At 35.6% G+C, this 24,742-nt stretch overlaps 1 protein-coding gene across 10 annotated transcripts in view; it reads left to right on the top strand.

The window, feature by feature from the left end:
- The window catches only part of PFKFB1 (6-phosphofructo-2-kinase/fructose-2,6-biphosphatase 1), a 65,829-nt gene that overhangs the window by 4,986 nt on the left and 36,101 nt on the right, over nucleotides 1-24,742 (top strand). The window contains exon 2 of one of the 10 annotated variants that reach the window (XM_017029578.2): nucleotides 3,084-3,165. The exons of the other annotated variants lie outside the window; for them this stretch is intronic. The gene's annotated coding sequence lies outside the window, so the exon portion shown is untranslated. The remainder of the gene's footprint in view (nucleotides 1-3,083; nucleotides 3,166-24,742) is intronic. 10 annotated transcript variants of the gene reach the window in all.

Here is a 24,742-nt window from a genome sequence, read left to right as displayed (position 1 = left end):
GTTGGAATAGATGAACAACTGGATGAAATAGAGGCTAGTGTCAAAAACGTGAGGAAAAGAATGAGAGAGAAGACAGGCGGAAAGAGAGATGAAGACAAAGGAGGATTAGGTTAAGACCATCTTAATCAGAGGGATCTTTAGGAACTTTTCCTTTCTTATGCAGAGCTTGTTTGGAATGCTTCTTGTTTGGAATTTAAGATTTCTAGTTTAGGACTGTTCAGTGATAGCCTAGTATGTTTCATTTTGGTGACTTCTGTGAAGTGTCTGGGAGTTGGTCTTGCCTGACTGATAGTGCCTGGGTGAAATAAGGTGATGGCTCCTGGCATCATCTTTCAGGGGACAGGTGCTGGGTACACAACAGTGCCATGTCACTGGTCAGTATTGCTCCTCTCCTTTCTCAGGCCTTTTCTGAGTCTATACCTGCCTAGGTTGGGAAACACTTAATGTCCTGTCTCCAGTGTTGCCTTCCTGGCACATATGGACTTCCTTGCTGCTCTGGAAATTTGAGAGAGGCAGTCTCTCAGGGCCAGCCCACTGGTGTGGTGCTCACTTTGGAAATTTAAGAAAGATCAAGGGCAAAACAAAACCTGTACATATTTAAAACAAAATCTGGAGTGTACCATTTCCCATAGATAACAGGCGACAGTGGTGGACCAAGGTGCATCCAGCCCAGGGATTGTGGCCTGAGTGGCCATAAGGTGGGTTAAGATAAGGCAGCTGTGGACTGTGGGACTCAGACACCCCAAAGGCCAGCTAACCAAGTTTCCAGTCTGCTAATGCTAGAGGAGGCCCAGGCTTAGGGATATTGGGGGTAGCAGTAGTTGCTTAGAGGATCTAGGAGCATATAGGATGTTAAATATAGTTATAATATACAGGAGGTAGGGTGTGGGTGGAGGAAGAGAGAGAAAAAAGACTAGGCTCCTATTCTCTCTCTTTCTTATCTCCACCAGCTCTCTCACTCACTCATCTGGAGATCTAGGAGCCTGGAGACTGAGAGGTACCCTCGCCCAGCCAGCCACTCTTGGCCTTTTCCAAGGGGCTGTTTAGTTGACAAACAAGCAAGCCATTCTCTGCATACACGGGTCCTCCAGAGCTAGAATGCTTATAGTCCTGGGAACTGTGTCTTTCAAGTTGGAGAGATAATATACATAAATCACCTAATATAGTCTCTATCAAATAGAAGGTGAAAAATAAATATGTGCTTACTTTTGTTTGGAGTGTCACTTTCCTCAGCTATAAAACAGGATTAATGCCTGCAACCCAGTGTTATTGGGAGTAATTCACTGATTCAGAGGTTCTGGATCCAGACTGCCTAGGTTTGAGTTCCAGCTCTATCTCCCCCTGTGTCTGTGACCTTGGACAACTCTCTTAACCTCTCTTGGCTTCTGTTTCCTCACTTGTAAAAGGAAGTTAATAACAGTGTAGTTGTGAAGATTAAATGAACTGGAGCATGGGATGTGCTTAGAAGAGTGTCCAGCACATAGTACATACGCAGTAATTGTTAATTATCCTAATTATTATTGTTCTTGTTATATAAACAAGAAAGCGGGTGTGTGGTCTTATTTACCATCATATCCTCAACATCAGGCCCTGATCCTGGCTCATAGTAGATGCTCAGTAAATGGTCACTCTGTGCTACTTCCACTCTACCACTCACCATAGCCAAGAATGGGGCTCTGTGTGTACAAGACAGTCACTCATTAATATTTGACTAAATTTTATCAGACCATAGATGCAAAAAACTTAGATAGTGGTTGCCAAGTCTGGACAATGTCTGGTTCACTTCTTGCTAGGGAGGCCAGTCTATTGGTCCCTGTAAGGTCTGAATCACCTTTTTCTTGGAGCATCCTCTCTAGCAGACACACAGTTACTTAATGTTATTTTGAAGATTAAATACATTAACATGTAAAGTACTTGAACAGCTGTGCATATTCTTTTCTCATCCAACATTATGTTTATGCGAACCACCCATTTTATCGTTGCAAGCAGTTGTAGTTTGTTTATTCCCCTTGTGAATATCCCACAGTTTATCCATCTTACTATTGTTGAGCATTTGGTTAGTTTCTAATTTTTGATTATGAAGAATAATCCAATGGGCATTCTTGTACCTTTATCCTGGTAGAGCAAGTCCCTTCATCTTGTCCTTCTTATGGAGTGTCTTGGCTATTCTTGGTCCAATGCCCTTCTCCATAAATTTTGGAATCAGCTTTCCAAGTTACACACATATACAAACACACACACACACACACACACACACACACACAGAGAGAGAGAGAGGGAGAGAGAGAGAGAGAACTTTTGGGATTTTGATGGAAATTACATTCAATCTGTAAATCAGTCAATTTGAGGAGAGTTGCCATCTTTGTGACATTGAGTCTTCCCTAAACACGGTATATCACTCCATATATTCAGACTTTTTCATGTTGAGTGAAGTTTTATAATTTAATCTATAAAAGGTTTGCATGCCATTGTAAGATTTTTTTGGCTTATTTTTTGTTGCTATCTTAAACAGTACCTTTTTAGAAAATTAAATTTTATAGCAGTATGTTGCTAATGTATACAACTGTATTTGTTTTTCATGTAATGAATTTGTAACTAGCAAACCTGCTAAACTTTCTTATGAGTTTTGATAATTTGTATGTAAATGACAGCTTTCATTTTCCCCACAACCCTCATTTTTATCTTTCTTATATTATTACACTGCTAAGACCTCCCGCCTTTAATATACACACACGAGATGTGCAGTACACGTTGAAAAGAAATGTTAATAATGTATATTCTTATGCTGATCCCGATTTTAAGTTTCACCATTGAGCAAATTTGCTGTAGTTTTTTTGGTAGATATCATTTAATAGGTTAAAGACGTTCCTGTTTATTCTGAGTTTGCCAATACAATTTTTAAAAGATGAATGAATATTGAATTTTATTAAACATGTTTTCTGTATTCACTGAAATGACATTAATTTTCTATTTTAACCCATTAATGTGGTACAATACATTAGAGTTTTTCTTGTGTTGAAATAATCTTGCAGTCCTGGGATAAATAAAAACTTCTGAATTTCTTTCACTAATTTTTTGTTTAGGATTTTAGCATTTTGCTCAGGAAAGAGATTGGCCTGTGATTTTTCCAAGAGTGTCAAGATTACACTAACCTCATAAAATCAGGTGGGAACTATTTCCTTTCATTCTGTCCTCTGACAGAGGTTGTCTGCAGAACTAGCCATTCCTCAAATATTTTACCTGGCAGCATTTCCAGGTAAAATATCTGGACCTGGTGTCTCCTTTAACATTTTAACTGATACAATCTCTTTTATCAGTTATAGAGTCCTTTCAGTTTGCTATTTCCACTAAAGTTAGCTTTCTTAAGCTTTCCTAAGTTATGGTTTTCTATGAATTTTTCTACTTCACATAGTTTTCAAATTTATTTTGTGTAAAGTTCTTATCTTTGTATCTTTTTTATCTCTGTTGCATTTGTAGTTATAGCTTCTCTTTCATTATAATATTATTTATTTGCACCTTTTTTCTCTTGATCAATCTTGCTATAAGTTTGACACTTTTATAATTCTAAAATAATCAACTTTTGACTTTTTGATCCTTTTTTATCTTTATTTTCTATTTAACTATTTTTTCATCATTATTCTGTTTCTCCTACTTTCTTTGGATTTATTCTGTTGTTCTTTTTTAACTCATAGAGTTGCCTGCTGCTCAGCTCATTCATTTTCAGACTTTCTTCTTTTCTAATTTAAGTGTCCAATGAGATAATTGGCCTACTAAACAGGGCTGATATTCCACAGATTCACAATCGTATGGCCATATGAATTTTCAGAATATTTCTAGTCCATTTTATAAATAGGCACTCTCCCAGGCTTTTTTAGTCTCTCCAACACTTACCCAGTTACCCTGGCCACCTCAATTCCTTTCCCAGGATAGCCAGGACCTACTGATTATCATCTAGCAACTAAAGGATTAATGCCTACCACAGCAGGAGGCCTCCAGTACTTGGTGCCAGCCCTTGGACCAGCTTCTGTTTTGATAGATCAGTGCTCTTGTCATTTCTATTTTAATTCCATTCTGGTCAGAGAACAAACTTTGTATTATTTCAGTTCTTTGAAATCTGTTGAGACTTGCTTTATGGACCAACTTATGGACAATCTGGTAAATGTTCCAAGAGCACTTGAAAAGAATGTGCGTTTTACAGTTGTGTTTAGTGTACTATATACCTCGATTAAGTTGTGTTTGTTAATCTGGCTCAAATGTTCTATATTCTTCTGGGGTTTTGGCTGCCTGTTGATATGGAAAATTTGTTAATGTTTCCTTGTAATTCTGTCAATCTTGAAAGTTCGTAGTTACAAACAAATTTAGAATTGCTATATCTTCCTTGTGAATTGAATATTTTATCACCATGTAAGGAAATTATTAACTCTGGTAATACCTGGTAATTTGGTATCATTGATGTTTTTGCCCTATAATCAATCTTTTTTCTCATATTAATATACCTACATTAGCTTTATTTAGCTTAATATTTGCCTGGTATGTGTTTTCCTACATTTAAAAAATTGTTTTTGATAGAGATATAATTCACATACCATAAAATTCACCATTTTGAAGTATACAGTGGTTTTGAGTATATTCACATAGTTGTGTAACCATCACCACTAATTCCAGGACATTTTCTTTATGCCAAAAAGGAATTCCATACTCTAGACTCACTCCAGATGACCCTCTCCCCTTAGCCCCTGGCAACCACTAATCTACTTTCAGTCTCAATGAATTTGCCTATTCTGGACATTTTATATAAGGGGAATCATACAATATGTGGCCTTTTGTATCTGGCTCGTTTCTTTGGGCATGTTTTCAAGGTTAATCCATGTTGTAGCATGCAAAGTCACAAAGATATATGCCTAGGCTTTTTTCTAAGAGTTTTATAGTCTTGGCTCTTACATTTAGGTTTTTCAATTTATTCTGAGTTAATATTTGCATGTGGTGTGAGATGGGAATCCAGCTTCGTTCTTTTGCATGTGGCTATCCAGTTGTCCTAGCAGCATTTTTTGAAAAGACTCTTCTTTCCCCTACTTAATTGTCTTGGCACCCTTGATGAAAATCAGGTGACTATAAGTTGAAGGGTTTACTTCTGGGCTCTCAGTTCTATTCCATTTGTTTATATGTATCTCTACCCTTATACCAGTACCACACATTCTTGATTATTGTAGTTTAATTGTAATTTTGAAATTGGGAAGTATGTCTTCTAATTTTGGTCTTTTTCAGATTGTTTTTATGATTGTTTTGGCTATTCTAGGTCCTTTGCATTTCCATATAAATTTTAAGACCAATTTATTAATTTCTGCAAAGAATTAAGCTGAAACTTTGACAGAAGCTGCATTTAATCTATAGATTAGTTAGGGAATATTACCATCTTAACAATAATAAGTTTTAGGTCCCTGAACATGAGATGTTGTTGCATTTACTTAGGTCTTTAATTATATTCACCAATGTTTTGCAGTTTTCAGAGTGTTTTACATTTTTTAAAGTGTTCTTTTAAGCATTTTATTGTTTTGATGCTATTGTAAATAAAATTGTTTTACTTAATTTCATTTTGTTTGCTCATGGCTACTTTATAGAAATGTAATTGATTTTTATATATTGATCTTATATTCTGCAACATTGCTGGACTCATTTATTAGGTCCAATGGTGTTTTTTAGTGCATTCCTTGGGATTTTCTATATACAAGATTATGTTATCTGCAAATAGAAATAATTTCATCTCTTCCTTTCCAATCCAGATGCCTTTTATTTTCTTTTTCTTACCTAATTACCTTGGCTATAACCTCTACTAGAATGTTGAAAAGATGAGATGAAAACAGACATCCTTCTGTTGTTACTGATCTTGGCAGGCGGCATGGGAGAAACTATTCAATCTTTCACCATTAAGTGTGATATTCACTGTGGGTTTTTCATTGGTGTCTTTTATTAGGTTTAGGGCCTTTCCTTCTAGTTTTAATTTGTTGTTGGTTTTATCATGAAGGGGTATTTAATTTCCCAAATGCTTTATCTGTGCCTATTATGATGATCATTTGGTTTTTTTGTCCTTAATTCTATTGATGTGATCTGTTGCATTAATTGATTTTCAAAGGTTAAATCAAGCTTGCATTCCTATAATAAATCTAACTTGATTGTGATGTAAAAAGTATAAGTATAATATATACATATATATAATGTATACATATAAATCCTTTTATACATTCCTGGGTTCAGTTTGCTAGTGTTTTGTGGGGATTTTTACATCCATATTCACAACAGCTATTGGTCTATAATTTTCTTTTCTTCTAATATATGTGCCTAACTTTGGTAGCACGGAAATACTGGCCTCATAGAATGAGTTGGGAAGTGCTTCTTCCTCTTCTACTTTTTGAAAGAGCTTTTGAAGAATCGTATTATTCTTTAAATGTTTGTAGAATTCACCAGTGAAACCATCTAATCCTGGACTTTTCTTTCTGGCAAGGTTTTTCATTACTTATTCAACCCCTTGTTATAGATCTATTTAGATTTCATTTCTTTTTTAGTCAGTTTTGAGAGTTTGTATCATTCTAATAATTTATCTATTTCACCTAAGGCATTTATTGTGTTGGCATACAGTTTATGATTGTTCATAATATTCCCTTATAATTCTTTTTATTTTCATAAAGTCAGTAGTAATGTCTCCTCTTTTTTTCCTGAATTTATTAATTTGAGTTTTCTCTTTTTTTTCTTGGTCAGTCTCACTAAAGGTTTGTCAAGTTTATTAATTTTTTCAAATAACCAACTTTTGATTTTGTTGATTTTTTTCTAATGTTTTCCTAGTCTCTGTTTTATTATTTTCACCTCTAATCCTTATTATATCCTTCTTCTGTTTCCTTTAGGTTCCCATATTTGTGAATTTCCCAAAGTTCTCTCTGTTATTAATTTTTTATTTTACTCCATTATGATTGGAGAACATACTTTATATGATTTCCATTCTTCCAAATTTATTGAAGCTTCTTTTATGGCCTAGAATATTGTCTCTCTTGGAGCATGTTTGATGTACACTTTGGAAAAATGTATAGTCTGCTGTTTGGAGATGGAGTGTTTTACAGATGTTTGTTATTACTACTTTGTGTTGAAGTCCTCTATTTCCCTGTTGTTGATCTTCTATGTAGTTGTTCTATCCATTATTGAAAGAGTGGTCTTGAAGTTTCCAACTATTGTCAGTGGATTGTCTATTTCTCCCTTCAATTCTGCCAGTTTTGCTTCATGTATTTGGCAGCTCTGTTGTTTAGGCATATACGTTTATACTTGTGATATATTCATTATGGATTGACCCTTTTGTCATTATTGAATGTCCCTATATATCTCTAGTAATGTTTTTGAACATCCATTTTGTCTCATATTAGTATGGTCACTCCAAATTTCTTGTGGTTGTTGTTTGCATGATGTATTACTTACGTTATTTTACTTTTAATCTATTTGCTTCTTTCTCTTTTTTCTTCTTTCTTTTTTAGAATAGAGATGGAGTCTCACTATGTTGCCCAGGCTGGTCTCAAACTTCTGGACTCAAGGGATCCTCCCACCTTGGTTTCCCAAAGTGCTCGGATTATAGGCGTGAGCCACCAGGCCTGCCTTGTATCTTTCAGTCTAAAACCTATCTTCTGTAGGCAGCATGCAGTTGGATCTTGTTTGTTTGTATTCAGTTAGATATTCTCTACCTTTTGATTGGGTTGATTAATCTGTTCTGATTTAAAATCATTATTGATATAGTTGGTTTAAATATGCAGTTTTATTTTTCCATAGAGCTCATGTCTTTTTCTCTCTATTCTTCCTTTACTGCTTTCTTTTGCATTAAATGAATTATTCTAGTTTAACTTTTTAATTCATTTGATCATTTTTTATTATATATTTTTTAGGTATATTCTTCGTGGTTGTTCTAGGGCTTTTCACATACATCATACATCAGTGTGCTTCAGATTTGTACTAATTTAATTTCAATGAGATATAAAAATTTTACTCATATATAGCTCTCTTTCACCTTCCTTTTTGAGCTATTATAATATATATATTATATCTGTATATGCTAAAAACTAAATAATACATCATTATAAGTATTATTTTATATAATTTTATGTTTTAAGGAAGCTGAGAAAATTAAGGAGAACATGTATGTATTTATTATTTTCTATTATTTTCATTTGTTCCTGTGGGTTTGAATTACCTTCTGGTATCATTTCCTTATTTCTATATAACTCTTTGCTTTGTGACTTGGCTAGGCTATTTTTAAAGTATGTTTCCCTGCAGTGTGAACCCTTCAGTGTTGCTTCTTGGAGTGCATAGTTTTTGGCTTGCAGGTAATTTGGGCTTTCTTTGACTTTTTCCCAGTCTCTCTATTAAGCTGTCAGCCCACATGGGGGTATTACACTCTAGGCTCCACTAATTACTAGCTGAATGCTGTATTTTGTTTTTGTTTTTTGTTTGTTTGTTTGTTTGGCAGTGTCCTGAAGCATGCATTGCCCAGCAGCCTTATCTAATTAAACTCTAGCAGGAGTAGTTTGTGAAGTAAGTCTTGGAGGTTTCTTCATACCCCAGAAGGGCTCTTCTTACCTGTCCCTCTCTCTCTTGTTCTCTCTGATGAACAAGCTGGCCTATGTTGCTGTTAGTTAAGTGAACTTGTAGTTTTTGAGAACATCCTTGGGCTTGAGCTTCTTTGTACTATGTTAAAAATAAAGTTAGTTTTGGGGGGAGAGTTTCAGAGCTCTCTCATCTTATGAATTTCTTCTCTCCATGGGTATACTGTCTGAGCACTGTTCTGGGTGCTGGGCGAGACAGCAGCTTCTGGTCTTAGTTTGCCTATCCTGGTGTGGAACCTACCCTGTGAGCAAGATGGAATGAGGGTAATCAGGACCTCAGTATTCTTAGCCTATTGCACCTGGTATATAGCCTCCATTCTATGAGTAAAAACTGGGAGGAGGAAGGGATCCTCCAACCTCTTAACCACACTTGCCAGGAATTTAGCCTCTGCAATTCTGAGCTGAAGGGAATGCTAAATGCTAGCTCTCTGCTCCTTCCAGTAAGATGCCAAAGTATTGATGGGACATTCTCTCCAAGACGAAAGGGAGCTTCATCTTGGCTATACACACCTTAAGTGGAGCTTCTATCAAGCTAAGCTTGGAGCCAGTAGTGAGGGGACAGTAGTAAGGTCGGGAACAGTAGCATGGCACATGTATCAAAGACTGTGTTCTTACCACATTTCAGTAGATTTTCTTGAATAAAAATATCTTCATGTACTGTATTCCATTAAGACAATTTCCAGAGATTTTAAAAGGTTGTTGTGTTGTAATTTTGCCAGCTGAGCTTGTTTTATTAGAGAATGGGTCTTTAGAGCTCCTCATGCTGTCATGCCAGAAATGAAAGTCTCAAGATTGTCTTTGTGTGTTGATCTTGTATCTTGCAGCCTTGATGAACTCACTTGTTAGTTCGAGGAATTTCTGTAGTTTAGGGGGATATTTCTATGTAGACAATCATGACATTTGCAAATAGGGATTTTTTAAAAATTATTTTCCAAACCGTATGCCTTTTATTTCCTTTTATTGCCTTATTGCAGTGGTTAGAACTTCTAGTACTATGTCAAAAGAGTGGAGAAGGTGGAAATCCTTACATTAGTCCTGATGTTAGGGGGAAAGCATTTAGTCTTTCACTTTTAAGTATAATGTTGGTGATAGTTTTTGTTTGCTTTATAGAAGTTTCTTATCAAGTTGAACTTAAACAAATTTACAAGAAAAAAACAACCCTATTAAAAAGTGGGCAAAGGACATGAACAGACACTTTTCAAAAGAAGACACACATACAGCCAACAAGCATATGAAAAAATGCTCAACATCACTGATCATTAGGGAAATGCAAATCAAAGCCACAGTGAGATACCATCTCACACCAGTCAGAATGGCTATCATAAAAAAGTCAAAAAATAACAGATACTGGTGAGATTGCAGAAGAAAGTGAATGTTTATACACTGCTGGTGGGAATGTAAATTAGCTCAACCATGTGGAAAGCAGTGTAGTGATTCATCAAAGAGCTAAAAACAGAACTACCATTCAACCCAGCAATCCCATTACTGGGTATATACCCAAGGGGATATAAATCGTTCTATTATAAAGACACATGCAGACATATGTTCATTGCAGCACTATTCACAATACCAAAGACATGGAATCAACCTAAATGTCCATCAGTGATAGACTGGATAAAGAAAATGTAGTATGTGTATGCCGTGGAATACTATGCAGCCATAAAAAAGAATGACATCATGTCCTTTGCAGGGACATGGATGCTGGAGGCCATTATACTTAGCAACCTAAAAGGAACAGAAAACCAAATACTGCATGTTCTCCCTTGTAAGTGGGAGCTAAATGATGAGAACACATGGACATAGAGGGGAACAACACACATTTGAGACCTACCTGAGGGTGGAGGGTGGGAGAAGGGAAAAGATCAGGAAGAATAACTAATGGGTGCTAGTTAATAGGTAATAGGTACACCTGGGTGACAAAATAATCTGTACAACAAACTCTTGTGACATTAATTTATCTCACTAAGAAACTTGCACATGTACCTCTGAACTTAAAATAAAAAATAAAAATATAAAATCTTAAGCTTAACCATTCAGAAACCACCAACTAACCTCTAACTATGGACTTTCTACTTTAAGCAATCAAATATTTATTTCGTCTTTCTTCTGAGAACACCTTATAAAAGTTTTCTCTTGATCCCCCTCAGTGGAGCCCTGAACTGCTTGTGTATTGTGCTTCCCAATTCACAAATTGCTGAATGCTCAAACTCATTAAAATTATTTAAAGAAAGGAGTGCCTATCAAGTTTAGGTAATTCATCTCTATTCCTAACTTGCTGAAAGTTTTTATCATTAATAGGTTTTATGAAGTGCTTTGTCAGTATGTATTTATTTTTCTTCTTTAGTTTGTTGATAGGGTGGATTACATTAATTGATTTTTTGAATTTTATTCTAGTCTTGCATACCTGTACTAAATCCCACTTAATCATTGCATATACAGTCATCCCTCAGTATCTGCAGAGGATTGGTTCTAGGAACCCCTGCAGATACCAAAATCCATGAATGCTCAAGTCCCTTTTATAAAATGGCCTAGTGTTTGCATATAACTTACACATATCCTCTCATTTACTTTAAATCATCTGTAGATTATACCTAACACAATGTAAATGCTATGTAAATGGTTGTTATACTGTATTGCTTTTTATTTGTAGTGTTTTATTCTTGTTATTTTTATTGTTTTTAAAAGTATTTTCTATCTGCTGTTGGTTGAATCTGCAGATGTGGAACCCACAGATATGGAGGACTGACTGTAATTATTTTCATGTAATGTTGGATTCTGTCTGCCAATATTTTGTTGAGGATTTTTTCATCTAAGTTTATGACAGAGTGGACTATAGAGTTTTTGGGTTTTTGGTAATTCATTTGTCTGGTTTTGATATCAGGGTAATTCTGGCCTCATAAAATTAGTTGAAAATATTCCCTCCTCTTCTTATTTCTTTGAAAATGTTGTTTAAAATTTGCATTAATTCTTCTTTAAAAGTGTTACAGACTTTTGAAGTAAACACATTTGGGTCTGGAGATTTCTATTTCTGGAGATTTTATGTTGAACTAAATTATTTTAATGTTTATAGGATTATTCGAGTGCCTGTTTTATTTTTGGTTGACTTGTGAGAGGCTGTGGTTTTCAAGGAATTGATCCATATATTCTAAATAGATAAATTTACAAGTGTAAAGTTGTTTGTAGTAGTTAAGTATTAAATAGCTTCTGGCATCCAGTGCTTTCCGCACGAGATAAGCAAATTTCAGATGCTTTCTCTCTCTCTGAAAGTGCCTGACTCTTCAGATTTCAAGGTAGTAGTTTTCTCTATGGCCTCAGTTCTCTAATGGGTCCCAGAAAAGTCATTGATTTTCAGTGTGACCCAATTTTTCTTATTGTAAAGATGAGAATAAGAACTCCCAAGCTCTTGGAACTGAAACTAGAAGTTCCTTGCTTAGTTGTTTTATAAACCCATGAAATAGACATTTTTATTGTTGTTTCTCAAGTCAGTGTTGGCTTAGTTTGACACACATGTTTACCATTTTACTTGCTCACCATTTCTTCTTGTCTCTTAGCCCTTTCTTTTGGTACTATTTTTCTTCTGTCTGAGGTACATTCCATAGAACCCTTATTGAGGGTCTGTTGGTGATAAATTCTCTTAGAGTTGTTTGCATGAAAATGTGTTTATGGCATCCTCATTCTTGAAGAGACTTATTTCTGAGTATACAATTCTGGGTTAAAAGTTATTTTCTCATAGAACTTCAGTAATATTATTTCACTATCTCTGGTTTTCATTATTGTTGTTGAGAAGTCAACTGCGAATCTAATTGTTACTCATTAGGTAAACTGTCTTTTATCTTTGATTGCTTTTTAAGATCTATTCAGCTTTAGTGTTCTGAAATTTTATTATGATTTTTCTAAATGTTGCTTGTTTTTTTTTGTTTGTTTGTTTTGTTTAAAGTTGGGCTTCCCTAACTTGAGGACTGGTATCTTTCATCAATTCTTTTCTTTCTGGAACTGTAATTAAACCCATGGTAGACTTTATCATTCTAGCCATGTGTTTTAATCTCTATTTTATATTTCCATATCTTGTTATTCCTACAGTACTTTCTATATAATTTCTTCAGATTTATTTTCCAGTTCATTAATTATCTCATCACCTCTGTTTAATTTGCTGTTTAACCCTCATACATTGAGTTTTTAATTTTAATGCTCTCATTTCTAATTTCTAGAAGCTGTATTTGATTCTTTTAAAAATTCATGTAGTCTTTCTTTGATAGTCTCACATTTCGTTGACATACTGTTGATACCTTCTTCATTTCTTTAAACATACAACCAATGCTTATTTCACAGTATAAATCAGATAATTCCAATTATAGCTTTTGCAATTCTGATTCTTTGGTTTGTTTCTGTGGATTCTTATTCATACAGGTTTTTCGTGTGTGTGTGTGTGTGTGTGTGTGTGTGTGTGTGTGTGTGTGTGTTGGCTTTTTTTCTTCCTACACGGGTAATGTACATCCCAGCCCCAAACCCACATAAATGCAGGACTGGGCTAGGAAATCTCAGGAACTGTTCACTCTTTTGTTTCCCTCCACGATTGAGCCAAGGTTGAGACAGTCTCAGTTAGGTGCTTCTTCTTCACCCGCTGATTACGTCACCTTTGTCTGGTCCACACTTTAGTCAGGCTCTCAGATCCAACTTCCTACTTTGAGCCCAAAGAGTTTTGTTTACTATCTTCTATACGTGCTATCTCTTAAAGCCCAAGTTTTAAGCCAGAAATGTGTCAATCCTTTGACAATGGCCCAGAGAAGAAACATTGTTTTTTACTTTGCCACTCAATAAACACACACGTTTGTGTGTGTGTGTGTGTGTGTGTATGTTAAATCAAAAAATATGCTTTTTATGATCCACTGTATTATTGTGTCAACTACTGTGTAATAAATTAACCTCAAAACGTAGTGGCTTAAAACAGCAAACATCTATTTTGTCTGTTTCTGTGGGTCAGAGATCAGTGCACAGCTCAGCTGGGTCCTCTGGCTCAGTATCTCTAATAAGGCTACAATCAAGGTATTGGCTGAAGCTTTGGTCATCTCAAGGTTCTACTGGGTAGGAGTGAGTGGATAGGGATCCACTTCCAACTTACTCACAAGGTTGTTGGCAAGATTCAGTTCCTCATAACATATTGGAATGAGGTCCTTAGTTTCTCACTAGCTCTTGACCAGAGATCATCCTCAACTTCTTGCCATGTGGGTCTCTCCCTAGGGAAGCTCACAACATGACAGCTGGCTTCCAACAGAGCAAGTCAATGAGAGAGCCAAAGAGGACCAACAAAATGGACGGCCAGTCTTTTTGTGATAAAATCTCAGGAGTGATATCCCATCACTTTTGCCTTATTTTATGGGTTAAAAACAAGTCACTAGATTCAGCCCACACTCAAAAGTAGGTGACTACACAATGTCATGAATAACAAGAGGTATGGATCATTAAGGGTGATATTGTATGCTGCCTATTGCACCCACTGAATTGATTTCATGTTTGTGAAACACTGCTCCAGGCTACCAGGGTAAACATGGATTTTAGTGCTTTTTTATCTCTTTAGATCAGTAATTATTTTCTCATTCCTGGCCTCTGAGGATTTCTGTTGGTTTCACACCAGCTCAGCCATGCTTTATTTGTTTTAAATCCATTATTTTTAGGTGTTTTGTATTTGGAAGGACTCTTTACAAATATAGCCTAAAATATCACCAGAAATAGAAATCTCTCTTCTATATTCTACCATATACAACTTGAGTAAGATACCGTACTACTTAAAATTACCTGAAAGTTTACAGAAGAGCTTGAGGAAAATGTGACCAGCTGTCATAAGATCCTTTTCTAAAAACATGATTAGGTGATAGGATAAATAAGAGTTTTATCCACCTGAAGTGTCTAGATAGGAAGGGAAAGCATTCAGGAAGTGAATGGCTACTACCTAAGTCTGTCCTGGGAGTAAGCTTTTTTATTTTTTAGCTTTTTATTTTTAAATAATTTTAGATTTACAGAACAATTGTAGAATTGCTGTATACCTTTCATTCAGCTTCCACCAATGTTATCACTTTACATAAGCATGGTATATTTGTCAAAACTAATAAATTAACATGGGTAAGTTACTATTAACTAAACTACATAATTTATTCAGACTTCTTCAGTTTTTTCACTAACGTCCTTTATATGTTCCAGGATCCAATCCAGCATACCACGTTGGGATTAATTGTCTTATTTCCTTAGAATCATCCAATCTGTGACAGCTTTTCAGTCTTTCCTTGTTTTTCATAACTTTGACAATTTTGGTCAAGTGTTTTGTGAAATGACCTTCAATTTGAGATTTTCTGATATTTTCTCATGTTTAGACTGGGGCTGTGGGTTTTAAGGAGAATACCATAGAGGTGAGGTATCCTTCTCATCACATCACATCAGAGGGAAGATGATATCAACATGACTTATTGCTGATGATATTAACCTTGAACTGTTAGATTAGTTGTGGTCTGCCAGGTTACTATTTGTCTTTCCCATACTGTATTCTTTGGAAGTGAATCATTATGTCCAGCCCACACTCAAGGGGAAGGAAATTAAATGCCACCCCCTAGAGGGAGAAGTATCAACTAATTTGTGGAAATTTATTAAAAACACTGTAATAATTTGGGTAAAATTATTTGAGCCTATGCAACTCTTCAGATTCTCCTTAAAGTTTCACTCACTAATTTTAGCATGAATCAGTGGATTGTGCCTGTGGCAATTATTACAGTAGTGTTCTAATGATGATTTTCTGCTTCCCTTATTTATTCTACATTTATTATTTGGAATCCCTCTATAAAGATTTTTCCTTTCTCCCCTACTTATTTATTCAACAATGTATATATATAAGTGTGTACTCATAAATATTTAATTATTTGGGTTATAATACTCAACTTATTTATTTTGTTGGTCACCTTGTCCCAGCTTTGCCCATTAGGAACTCTTTCATATTGGCTTCTGCGTTCTGTTCTATTTTTAGTAGACTTTATATTTTACAGTAGTTTTAGGTTTGCAGCAAAATTGAGCAGAAGGTACCAAGATTTCCCATATTCTCCCTTCCTCCCCTCCACATGCATAGCCTCTCCCATTATCAATAGCCACTGCCACAGGGGTATTTGTTACAAATGATGAACCTACATTGACACATTGCTATCACCCAGAGTCCATAGTTTACTTTAGGGTTCACTCTTGGAGTTGCACATTCTATAGGCTTGAGCAAATTTATAATGACATGTATGCAGTATTAAAGTAGTTTCCCTGCCCTAAGAATCCTCTTTGCTCCACTTATTCATCCCTGTCTTTTCCCCTCCTGTGTCCCTTTGATATACTTCTATTCTCCTTATTTTTCTAGCACTTCGTTACTTTTTTACAAGATAACACCAGCCTCTTCTCCAAGAAACCATGGTTCCTGTAATTGAAAATTGGTATTTGGAAACCAAGATCTGGATGCTTTTGTTACTTTTAGGGTATCATTAATTCTAGCCCGCTCAGCAGACAGAGCTAAGAAATATTTGTGTGCATGCTAACCCGTCTGTATTTTGATGTCTATTTATATATACGTTAAAAATAAACATGAGTTAATACCATTTCTGACCCTAAATTGCACTATAAGGCATCATTCTAGACCTTCTCCCTTGTTTACTATGAGCTTCTTTCTTAGACTGTGAAATACCTGACTCTCATTATCTACAAGTTATTTATTTATTTATTTATTTGTTTGTTTGTTTGTTTATTTATTTATTCCACCCTACTACACTGGTAGTTTCAGAATTGTTAACTCATACCCCTGGGAGAAACAATTTTATCAATTAGAGTACAGTGTCTACACACAATTACTTTCTGTCATTAGTCTTAAAATATTCAGCAAAACACTATTTTCGTGGTTATTTATTTCAGGTTTTCTTTCTCCACCCCATTTAGTGAGATTATGATATATATACTTGTAATATAGTTAGAACCATTTGTTGCAAACTGCATTCAATATTGAGTTGCTCAGACATTTTGGTTGATTTATAAAAACTTGAATGCAATAAAATTCAGTTTTGTGAGTTTTGACAAACGTATAAAGTCAGATATCCTCTTCCATAGTACCGTATAGAACAATTCCATCACCCTAAAAATTCTCCTGTACAGCCCATTATAGTCAACCCTTCAGACCTCCCCCAACCCCTGGCAACTACTGAGCAGTTCTCTGTTCCTATAATTTTGCCTTGTCCAGGATGTCATATAAATGGAATTATATCACATGTCAGCTTTTGGATATGGCTTCTTTCTCTTAGCATAATGCATTTAAGATTCATCCTAGCTGTATGAATATCAACAGTTATCTTAATTGCCGTATGGTATTCTAGTTTATGATTGTACCACAATTTGTTTATCCATTCACCAACTGAAGAGCATCTTGGTTGTTTCCAGTTTTTAGTGATTTTTAGTAAGGCTCCATAAATATTCTCATATACATTTTTGTGTAAACTTAATTTTTCAATTCCCTTCCAAAGGTATGTATGAGTGAAAATGCTAGGTCATATGTCAAGTGTATGTTAAATTTTAAAAGTAACTGCCAAACTGTTTTCCAAAATGCCTGAACCATTTTGCATTTCCACTAGCAATGAGTGAGAGTTCCTTTTGTAATACATCCTTGCCAGCATTTCATATTGTCATGTAAATTTATATGTGTATTTAATTCTAGCCATTTTAATAGCTGTATCTTGAAGTGTTTCTCATTACACATTTAATTTTCATTTTCCCAATGATTGATATTATCTTTTAATACACTTGTTTGCCATCTGTACATTTGGGTTGGTGAAATGTTTGTTCAGATGCTTTGCTAATTTTTAAAACTAAATTTTATCTTTTATTGTTCAGTTTTAAGTGTTATTTATATATTTTGGATATACCAGATATATAATGTACAAGTATATTCTTTCATTCTGTGGCATTTTTCATTCCTTTGTGTCTTTCACAGATAAAAAAATGTTAATATGTAAATATTTAACAATTTTTATTTTAAAATTTTTCGTAAATAAAAATGTTTAAATTTTTATAGTTCAATTTATCTATTTTTTTCTTGTGTGGATAATGCTTTTTGTGATGTAACTAAAAACTAATTGGCATATCCAATATTTTACATTCTCTCCCAAGTCCTTTTTTTAGAAGTTTTATAGTTTTACATTTTATATTTAGACCTATGATCCACTTTGAATTATTTTTTGGGTAAGGTTTAAGTATTCAAGTTCATTTTTTGCAGTGGACTTCCAATCGTTCTAGCACCATTTGTTGAAAAGACTCTATTTTCTCTATTGAATTGACTTTGTACCTTTGTCCAAAATTAGTTGACTTTGTCCAAAATTTGAGTGGGTCTATTTCTGGGCTCTTTATTCTATTTCATTGATCTAGATTGCTATCCTTTTTCCAATACCACACTGTCCTGAGTATTGTGGCTTTATAATAAGTCTCAAAATCATGTAGTAAAGTTCAGTCCACCAACATTGTTTTATTTATTTATTTATTTTCAATAGTTTTTAGGGTACAGATGGTTTTTGGTTACATGGGTAAGTTGTTTAGTGATGGTTTCTGAGATTTTGGTGCATCCGTCACCTGAGCAGTGTACACTGGCCCCAATGTGCAGTCTTTTATCACTCACCCTCCTTCCATCCTTCCCCGCAAGTCCCCAGAGTCCATTATATCATTCTTACCCCTTTGCATCTTCATAACTTAGCTCCCACTTATAAGTGAGAACATAACAATATTTGGTTTTTCATTCCTAAGCGACTTCACTTAAAAAAATGGCCACCATCTCCATCCAAGTTGCTGCAAAGGCCATTATTTCATTCTGTTTTATGGCTGAGTAGTATTCCATGGTGTATATATACCATGGTATATGATATAAAGAAAATGGATACATTTTCTTTATCCACTCGTTGGATGATGAGCATTTAAGTTGATTCCATAGTTTTGCAATTGTGAAGTGTGCTGCTATAAACATGCGTGTGCACATGTCTTTTTCATATAATCACTTCCTTTCCTCTGGGTAGATACCTAGTAGTGGGATTGCTGGATCAAATGGTAGTTCTACTTTTAGTTCTTTAAGGAATCTCCATACTGTTTTCCACAGTGGTTGTACTAGTTTACATTCCTACCAGCACTATAAAAGTGTTTCCTTTTCACCACATCCATGCCAAGATGTATTTTTTTTTATTTTTAAATTATGGCCATTCTTGCAGGAGTAAGGTGGTATCTCATTGTGGTTTTAATTTGCATTTCCCTGAAAGATAGTGATGTTGAGCATTTTTTCATGTGTTTGTTCGCTGTTTATATATCTTCTTTTGAGAATTCTATATTCATGTCCTTTGCCCACTTTTTGATGGGATTATTTGTTTTTTCTTGCTGAGTTGTTTTGAGTTTCTTGTATATTCTGGATGTTAGTCCTTTATCAAATGCATAGTTTGCGAATATTTTCTCCCACTCTGTTGGTTGTCTGTTTACTCTGCTGATTATTTCTTCTACTGCACAGAAGCATTTTAGTTTAATTATGTCCCATTTATTTATTTTTATTTTTGTTGCATTTGCTTTTGGGCTCTTAGTCATGAATTCTTTGCCTAAGCCAATGTCTAGAAGAGTTTTCCCAATGTTATCTTGTAAAATTTTTATGATTTCAGGTCTGAGGTATAGGTCTTTGATCCATCTTGAGTTGATTTTTGTATAAAGTGAGAGAGGAGGGTCCAGTTTTATTCTTCTATATGTGGCTTGCCAATTATCCCAGCATCATTAATTGAATAGGGTATCATTTCCCTACTTTATGTTATTGCATGCTTTGTTAAAGATCAGTTAGCTGTAAGTATTTGGCTTTATTTCTGGGTTCCGAATTTTGTTCCATTGCTCTATGTGCCTGTTTTTATACCAGTACCATGCTGTTTTGGTAACTATAGCCTTGCAGTATAATTTGAAGTTTCAGCAACATTGTTTTTATTTTGCAAATTGTTTTGGCCATTGTAGTTTCTTAGCCCTTCCATATGAGTTTCAGGATCAGCTTGTCTATATCTAAAATATCCTGATAGGGTTTTTATTGGTATTGTGTTACGTATATAGGTCACTTTGGGGAGAATAGACATCTTTACCATATTGAGTATTCCAGTCCATGAACACAGTATGTCTATTTATGTAGCTCTTTGATTTTTTAACAACATTTTGTAATTTCCAGCATACAGATCTTTTATACATGTTTTATTGGTGTTATACCTAAAGATTTTGTCTTATTAGAACTATTGTAAATTTTTTTTAACTTTGATTTTGAATTGCTTACAGAACTCTCCACCCCAAATCAACAGAATATACATTTTTTCCAGCACCACACCACACCTATTCCAAAATTGACCACATAGTTGGAAGTAAAGCTGTCCTCGGCAAATGTAAAAGAACAGAAATTATAACAAACTGTCTCTCAGACCACAGTGCAATCAAACTAGAACTCAGGATTAAGAAACTCACTCAAAACTGCTCACCTACATGGAAACTGAACAACCTGCTCCTGAATGACTACTGGGTACATAACGAAATGAAGGCAGAAATAAAGATGTTCTTTGAAACCAACGAGAACAAGACACAACATAACAGAATCTCTGGGACGCATTCAAAGCAGTGTGTAGAGGGAAATTTATAGCACTAAATGCCCACAAGAGAAAGCAGGAAAGATCCAAAATGGACACCCTAACATCACAATTAAAAGAACTAGAAAAGCAAGAGCAAACACATTCAAAAGCTAGCAGAAGGCAAGAAATAACTAAGATCAGAGCAGAACTGAAGAAAATAGAGACACAAAAAACCCTTCAAAAAATTAATGAATCCAGGAGCTGGTTTTTTGAAAGGATCAACAAAATTGATAGACCGCTAGCAAGACTAATAAAGAGGAAAAGGGAGAAGAAGCAAATAGACGCAATAAAAAATGATAAAGGGGATATCACCACCGATCCCACAGAAATACAAACTACCGTCAGAGAATACTACGAACACCTCTATGCAAATAAACTAGAAAATCTAGAAGAAATGGATACATTCCTCGACACATAAACACCCTCCCAAGACTAAACCAGGAAGAAGTTGAATCTCTGAATAGACCAATAACAGGCTCTGAAATTGTAGCAATAATCAATAGCTTACCAACCAAAAAGAGTCCAGGACCAGATGGATTCACAGCCGAATTCTACCAGAGGTACAAGGAGGAACTGGTACCATTCCGTCTGAAACTATTCCAATCAATAGAAAAAGAGGGAATCCTCTTTAACTCATTTGATGAGACGAGCATCATCCTGATACCAAAGCCGAGCAGAGACACAACCAAAAAAGAGAATTTTAGATCAATATCCTTGATGAACATTGATGCAAAAATCCTCAATAAAATACTGGCAAACCAAATCCAGCAGCACATCAAAAAGCTTATCCACCATGCTCAAGTGGGCTTCATCCCTGGGATGCAAGGCCAGTTCAATATATGGAAATCAATAAATGTAATCCAGCATATAAACAGAACCAAAGACAAAAACCACATGATTATCTCAATAGATGCAGAAAAGGCCTTTGACAAAATTCAACAGCCCTTCATGCTAAAAACTCTCAATAAATTAGGTATTGGTGGGACGTATCTCAAATAATAAGAGCTATCTATGACAAACCCACAGCCAATATCATACTGAATGGGCAAAAACTGGAAGCATTCCCTTTGAAAACTGGCACAAGACAGGGATGCCCTCTCTCACCACTCCTATTCAACATAGTGTTGGAAGTTCTGGCCAGGGCAATTAGGCAGGAGAAGGAAATAAAGGGTATTCAATTAGGAAAAGAGGAAGTCAAATTGTCCCTGTTTGCAGACGACATGATTGTATATCTAGAAAACCCCATTGTCTCATCCCAAAATCTCCTTAAGCTGATAAGCAACTTCAGCAAAGTGTCAGGATACAAAATCAATGTACAAAAATCACCAGCATTCTTATACACCAATAACAGACAAACAGAGAGCCAAATCATGAGTGAACTCCCATTCACAATTGCTTCAAAGAGAATAAAATACCTAGGAATCCAACTTACAAGGGATGTGAAGGACTTCTTCAAGGAGAACTACAAACCACTGCTCAATGAAATAAAAGAGGACACAAACAAATGGAAGAACATTCCATGCTCATGGGTAGGAAGAATCAATATCATGAAGATGGCCATACTGCCCAAGGTAATTTATAGATTCAATGCCATCCCCATCAAGCTACCAATGACTTTCTTCACAGAATTGGAAAAAACTACTTTAAAGTTCATATGGAACCAAAAAAGAGCCTGCATCACCAAGTCAATCCTAAGCCAAAAGAACAAAGCTGGAGGCATCACGCTACCTGACTTCAAACTATACTACAAGCCTACAGTAACCAAAACAGCATGGTACTGGTACCAAAACAGAGATATAGATCAATGGAACAGAACAGAGCCCTCAGAAATAATGCCGCATATCTACAACTATCTGATCTTTGACAAACCTGAGAAAAATAAGCAATGGGGAAAGGATTCCCTATTTAATAAATGATGCTGGGAAAACTGGCTAGCCATATGTAGAAAGCTGAAACTGGATCCCTTCCTTACACCTTATACAAAAATTAATTCAAGATGGATGAAAGACTTAAACATTAGACCTAAAACCATAAAAACCCTAGAAGAAAACCTAGGCATTACCATTCAGGACATAGGCATGGGCAAGGACTTCATGTCTAAAACACCAAAAGCAATGGCAACAAAAGCCAAAATTGACAAATGGGATCTAATTAAACTCAAGAGCTTCTGCACAGCAAAAGAAACTACCATCAGACTGAACAGGCAACCTACAAAATGGGAGAAAATTTTCACAACCTACTCATCTGACAAAGGGCTAATATCCAGAATCTACAATGAACTCAAACAAATCGACAAGAAAAAAACAAACAACCCCATCAAAAAGTGGGTGAAGGACATCAACAGACACTTCTCAAAAGAAGACATTTATGCAGCCAAAAAACACATGAAAAAATGCTCACCATCACTGGCCATCAGAGAAATGCAAATCAAAACCACAATGAGATACCATCTCACACCAGTTAGAATGGCAATCATTAAAAAGTCAGGAAACAACAGGTGCTGGAGAGGATGTGGAGAAATAGGAACACTTTTACACTGTTGGTGGGACTGGAAACTAGTTCAACCATTGTGGAATTCAGTGTGGCGATTCCTCAGGGATCTAGAACTAGAAATGCCATTTGACCCAGCCATCCCATTACTGGGTATATACCCAAAGGACTATAAATCATGCTGCTATAAAGACACATGGACACGTCTGTTTATTGCGGCATTATTCACAATAGCAAAGACTTGGAACCAACCCAAATGTCCAACAATGATAGACTGGATTAAGAAAATGTGGCACATATACACCATGGAATACTATGCAGCCATAAAAAATGATGAGTTCATGTCCTTTGTAGGGACATGGATGAAATTGGAAATCATCATTCTCAGTAAACTATCTCAAGAACAAAAAACCAAACACCGCATATTCTCACTCATAGGTGCAAATTGAACAATGAGAACACATGGACACAGGAAGGGGAACATCACACTCTGGGGCCTGTTGTGGGGTGGGGGGAGGGGGGAGGGATAGCATTAGGAGATATACCTAATGATAGATGACGAGTTAATGGGTGCAGCACACCAGCATGCACATGTATACATATGTAACTAACCTGCACATTGTGCACATGTACCCTAAAACTTAAAGTATAATAATAATAAAACTAAAAAAATAAAAAAATGAATTATTGATTGTATATAATATTATGATTGACTTTTATGTGTTGACATTGTATCCTGTGAACTTGATAAACTTGCTTATTGGTACTAGAAAGGTTTTTAAAAATAGATTTTGGGCCGGCTGCAGTGGCTCATGCCTATAATCCCAGCACTTTGGGAGACTGAGGTGGGCAGATCACTTGAGGCCAAGAGTTCGAGACCAGCCTGGCCAACATGGTGAAACCCCATCTCTACTAAAAATACAAAAATTAGCCAAGTGTGGTGGCACATGCCTGTAATCCCAGCTACTATGAAGGCTGAGTCATAAGAAGCCCTTGAACCTCGGAAGCAGAGGTTGCAGTGAGCCGTGATCATGGCACTGCACTCCAGCCTGGGTGACAGAGCAAGACTGTGTCTCAAAAAATAAAACATAAAATAAATTATAGATTTCCTGGGATTTTCTACACAGACAATCATATTATGGATGAACAGGGACAGATTTATTTCTTCCTTTACAATTTGCATGCCTTATATTACCTTTCTTGCCTTATAATATTGACTGGGAGTTACAATACTATGTTGAATGGGAGTCGTGAGAGTGGACATCCTTGCCTTGTTCCTGATATTAGAGAGAAAGCATTTAGTCTGTCAACATAAAGTATGACATTAGCTGTAGATTTTTTGTAAATATTCTTTATCTGGTTAAGGAAGCTCCCTTCTATTCCAAATTGCTAAGAGTTTTATTACGAATGGATATTGTATTTTGTAAAAAGTTTTTTTCATCTGCTGATATAATTTGGGGCATCTTAATCTATTTTGTGCTGCTAAAACAGAATACCACAGACTGGCTAATTTATAAAGAACAGAGATTTATTTCTTACAGTTCTGGAGGCTGGGAAGTCCAAGATCACGTGGCCACATCTGGTGAGGGCCTTCTTGCTGCATCATCCCATTGTGGAAGGTGAAAGGGCAAGAGAGAGTGTGCTTATGTGCGTGCCTGTGCATGCGAGTGTGGGGGCCAAACTTATCCTTTTATCAGGAACTGTTTTCTGAGTTAACTAAACCATTCCATTATTAATGCCATTAATTCATTCATGAGGGAAGAAGCCTCTATTCATGAAGGTAGAGCCCTCATGACCTAATCACTTCTTAAAGGTCCCACCTCTCAATACTGTTGCATTGGAGATTAAGTTCCAACACATGAACTTTGGAGGATGTATTCAAACCATACCATGGGGTTTTACATCTTTAGAATGGATTGCTTTGATTGATTTTCATATATT

This window comes from Homo sapiens, chromosome X (assembly GCF_000001405.40).
Source record: "Homo sapiens chromosome X, GRCh38.p14 Primary Assembly".
In the NCBI taxonomy this organism is placed as follows: Eukaryota; Metazoa; Chordata; class Mammalia; order Primates; family Hominidae; genus Homo; species Homo sapiens.
Note: the sequence above shows the minus strand (reverse complement) of the source record. Positions and strands in the feature narration are given on the sequence as shown.